The sequence below is a fragment of the Homo sapiens genome, chromosome 13 (genome assembly GCF_000001405.40).
Source record: "Homo sapiens chromosome 13, GRCh38.p14 Primary Assembly".
NCBI classification, from domain to species: domain Eukaryota; kingdom Metazoa; phylum Chordata; class Mammalia; order Primates; family Hominidae; genus Homo; species Homo sapiens.
In genome coordinates, this window is record NC_000013.11 from 79,657,373 (window position 1) to 79,660,729 (window position 3,357).

General features: G+C 40.6%; 1 annotated feature.

Moving 5' to 3' along the window:
- Positions 739-3,123: an enhancer, noted in NCBI's record as "VISTA enhancer hs1471". NCBI's record gives its function as "enhancer in: limb[5/6] | branchial arch[5/6] | other[5/6]" and the evidence as "EXISTENCE:transgenic organism evidence [ECO:0001131][PMID:17130149]".

A 3,357-nucleotide genomic window follows, 5' to 3' on the forward strand; every position in this document is an offset into this window, starting at 1 on the left:
GCTTTGCCTTCTGCTATGATGGTAAGCTTCCTGAGGCTTCACCAGGAGGTGAGCAGATGTTGGTGCCATGCTTGTATAGCCTGTAGAACCGTGAGCCAATCAAACCTGTATTCTTTATAAATTACCCAGTCTCAGGTATTCTTTTATAGTAGTCCAAAAGTGGACTAATAGAGATGGAGTCTCACTATGTTGCCCAGGCTGGTCTTAAACTCCTGGGCTCAAGCAATCCTCCTGCCTTGGCCTCCTAAACTGCATGGATTACAGGTGTAAGCCACTTTACCCAGCCTTATTTTTTTTTTAATTATAACAAGGAATTACATATGCCTGGAGAAGAAGGCAATAGTTAATGTGGGTAGTCAGTGCTTTTCCCACCTTAATGTGAACATGAATATAGACACAGGATAGAGCTTAAGATTCTGCATTTCTAAGAAGAACCCAGGTCATACTGCTATTCGTGTTCTAGGGACCACATTTTGAGTGGAAGACCCAGTGGGGCTAAGGCTTTCTCTGTTTTCAAATCACAACTAATGATTGGCGTTGACTCATAATTACTTTTTTATTTTTTCCAACTACTAAGAACTGACATAAAAACATTACACATGACAGAAATACAAAATGTAGGGATCAAAAGTTCCCAATATTCTTTCCTCCTAAAGATAGCTGCTGTCAAAATTCAGTGTGCAGTCTTCTAAATTATTTTATATTTATATTATATATATATGACTATTTTTCAGAAAACAAACTCATACAAAACATTCTGTGGTAGCTTTTTTACTTTCTAGCATATTTGGGGCTTTCATCCTATGTAAGAACCGATAGGCCATTCATTCTATTTAAAAGATAGTTAATACATGCCACAGATGTTGTTTAGAAGTCATGTCACTAAGAAGATATTTATGTAAACAAAGCTTTTAAAAATAAAAACAATAGCATTTTTGGCAGGAATCAATGTTATGTAAATGAATAGTTTAAAACAGGAAGAAGTAAATTTGTCTCTAGATCCCACGATGATGACACTTTTAAAGGAATGAACAGGCAGAGAGTTAAACTAGACACTCTGGTTGGGTATAAAGAAGACATGATCATTTCCCTGTAAGAAATGGCAATCTCCCAGCCTTCCCTGGAGGCCTAGTGTGGGTATCTAATGACAGTGATGAGATAAGGATATAAAGATATAAAGATGCCCTGGGTTAGCCCAAGACACACCACTCAGGGTTGGGACATCAGTGATGCCCTGAGGGCAGATGCCCACCCCTCACCCTTTGCCCATACACCAGGGCTGGAGTCACTAGAAGCCTTTGCCTCAGGTGTATGGGGGTGAGTTGCACCAGGCAGCTACATGGCAGCAGCTGATTTTTCCTGAGCCTGAAGCAGTGCGACTTCCATGCAGTAGCTATTTTGGATGCTGAGAGCTGCACTACAGCTCCAGCTGAGAGGCCCACATTCCCCTGAAGGTGAGGTGGGTGGCACATGTGACGGGAGCCCCCATCACCCCTGACATATACAGCAATTCTCCACCTAGGAAGAGGGGGTGGGTATTGGAGGAGAGGAGCTGTTTCTTATAAACAATAGGCAGAATAAATTAAAAATTGCTCTTCAAATAGCTATTTAGGCTGTAGGGACATGTGTGTTGGCTTGAAGCTGTGCCTTCAGTTCTGCCCCAGGAATTCATAAACGCAAATATCTATGTCCTTTCCCTGTCTTGTACTTAAGAATAAGGATTTCTGGCCAAAAGATTCTCTAAATTCCAGTCGGAATTGGAAGGTCCAGCCTGAGATCTTAGCAATTCATTTGACTGAGAATCCTTTTCCAATGAAAAGACGCTCTTCCCTCCCTCCCAGTGAGGCTGGAAATATGATAGATTCAGTTAATCTTCAACAGGCAATTTCAGACATTTCAGATCTACTTCTGCTGTGTGATTAATTGCTTCAGAGTTTGGCAAGTATTAAGTGGGAGAGTTCTGTGGGGAGGAAGTCGGAGTGCAGGCTGCAGCTGGCCCGCTGTTTGTTTCTGCTCAGGCTGGGCCTCTGTTCTCCCTCAACAAAGCACAGCTGGTTTATGTCTGTCACAATCAATGGGATGACATTTCCGAACTGGTAATTACCAAAAGGATTCCTGTTGATGCCTTTTGGAACTGCCAATCTTAAAGGTAGCTCTTGGCTCCTGCTGGGTACAGTATGCCTACATTTGGCTTTTTATCTCCCTTTTCTTACTTGAACTGAAAGAAAGGTTTGTGTGGAGACTTGTAGCTCACTGCCTCGTACCTCTTTTCCTTCCCTTCCCATCTACATGTTAAAGAATATCACAAAGACTGGAAAATCCTCTGCATGCCCTGAATAGCACTGGCTGAGGAGTCATCTAGAAAAAACACTAATGAAAAACTAATGTGCATTGTAAATGAATGTATTTATATTTTCATGTTCTATGGAGAAAAAAGTACAGGCTATTATTTTCTAGGGGCTTTGAATTTGCTGGATTCAGCAATCTAGGAAAAATACTCCATGTTGACATATGTATATTTCTTTATATTTTATTACAGTCTTTTAAGCACCAGGATGGCATTTAATAGACAATTTTTGAAGGAAAATAAATAGTGCTCCAGCCGGATGGTTCTACGGAAGGGGCAAACCAGTAGACATCACAGAGGAAGATGTTTATTCCTTTTACTCAACAATGATTTACTGGGGCATGCTATATGCCAGGCATTGTGTAAATGCTGAGAATTAGAACAGTACCAGCTGGAGTCTGGGGTGAAAGTTGGCATAACACTATTCCAATGGCTTCCTCAAAGAACCTGAGGGACACTCTCAGTCTACCTATAGTTGCCCTAGCAATCCCAGACTTAAGCATACACTAGTTTTTCTCACTCATGTTTTGATGATAAAATGGCCATTGCCTCTGAGCCTTGGAGTCAAAAGAATTAAGACACATTGACGCATGTTAGAAAGTGTGGGAGCAGGAGTGTCAGCTAAGAAGGACAGGCAAGGAGAAATTCAGGGCAAAGTAGAGATTTAAAATGCTAACAAAAATGAAAAATACATGAGAAAGAAGAGCAAAGAAGAAAACCAAAGATTACTTCATACCGATTTCTTTAAAAAATGAAGCACTTTGATAAGAGTGTCAAGACTGAAAGTAGATGAGTGGTTACCAGGTGGGTGGTGGAAAATTGGGTTAACTGCTAATGGGTTTAGGGTTTCTTTTTGGGGTAATGAAAACGTTTCAAAATTAGATAGTGGTCACAGTTGTACAACTCTGTAACCATACTGAAAGCTACTGAATTATACAGTTTAAAGGTAAAGTTTATGTTACATGAATAACTCAAATATTTCTGAAGCCCCCGAAGGGAAGGCAACCAGT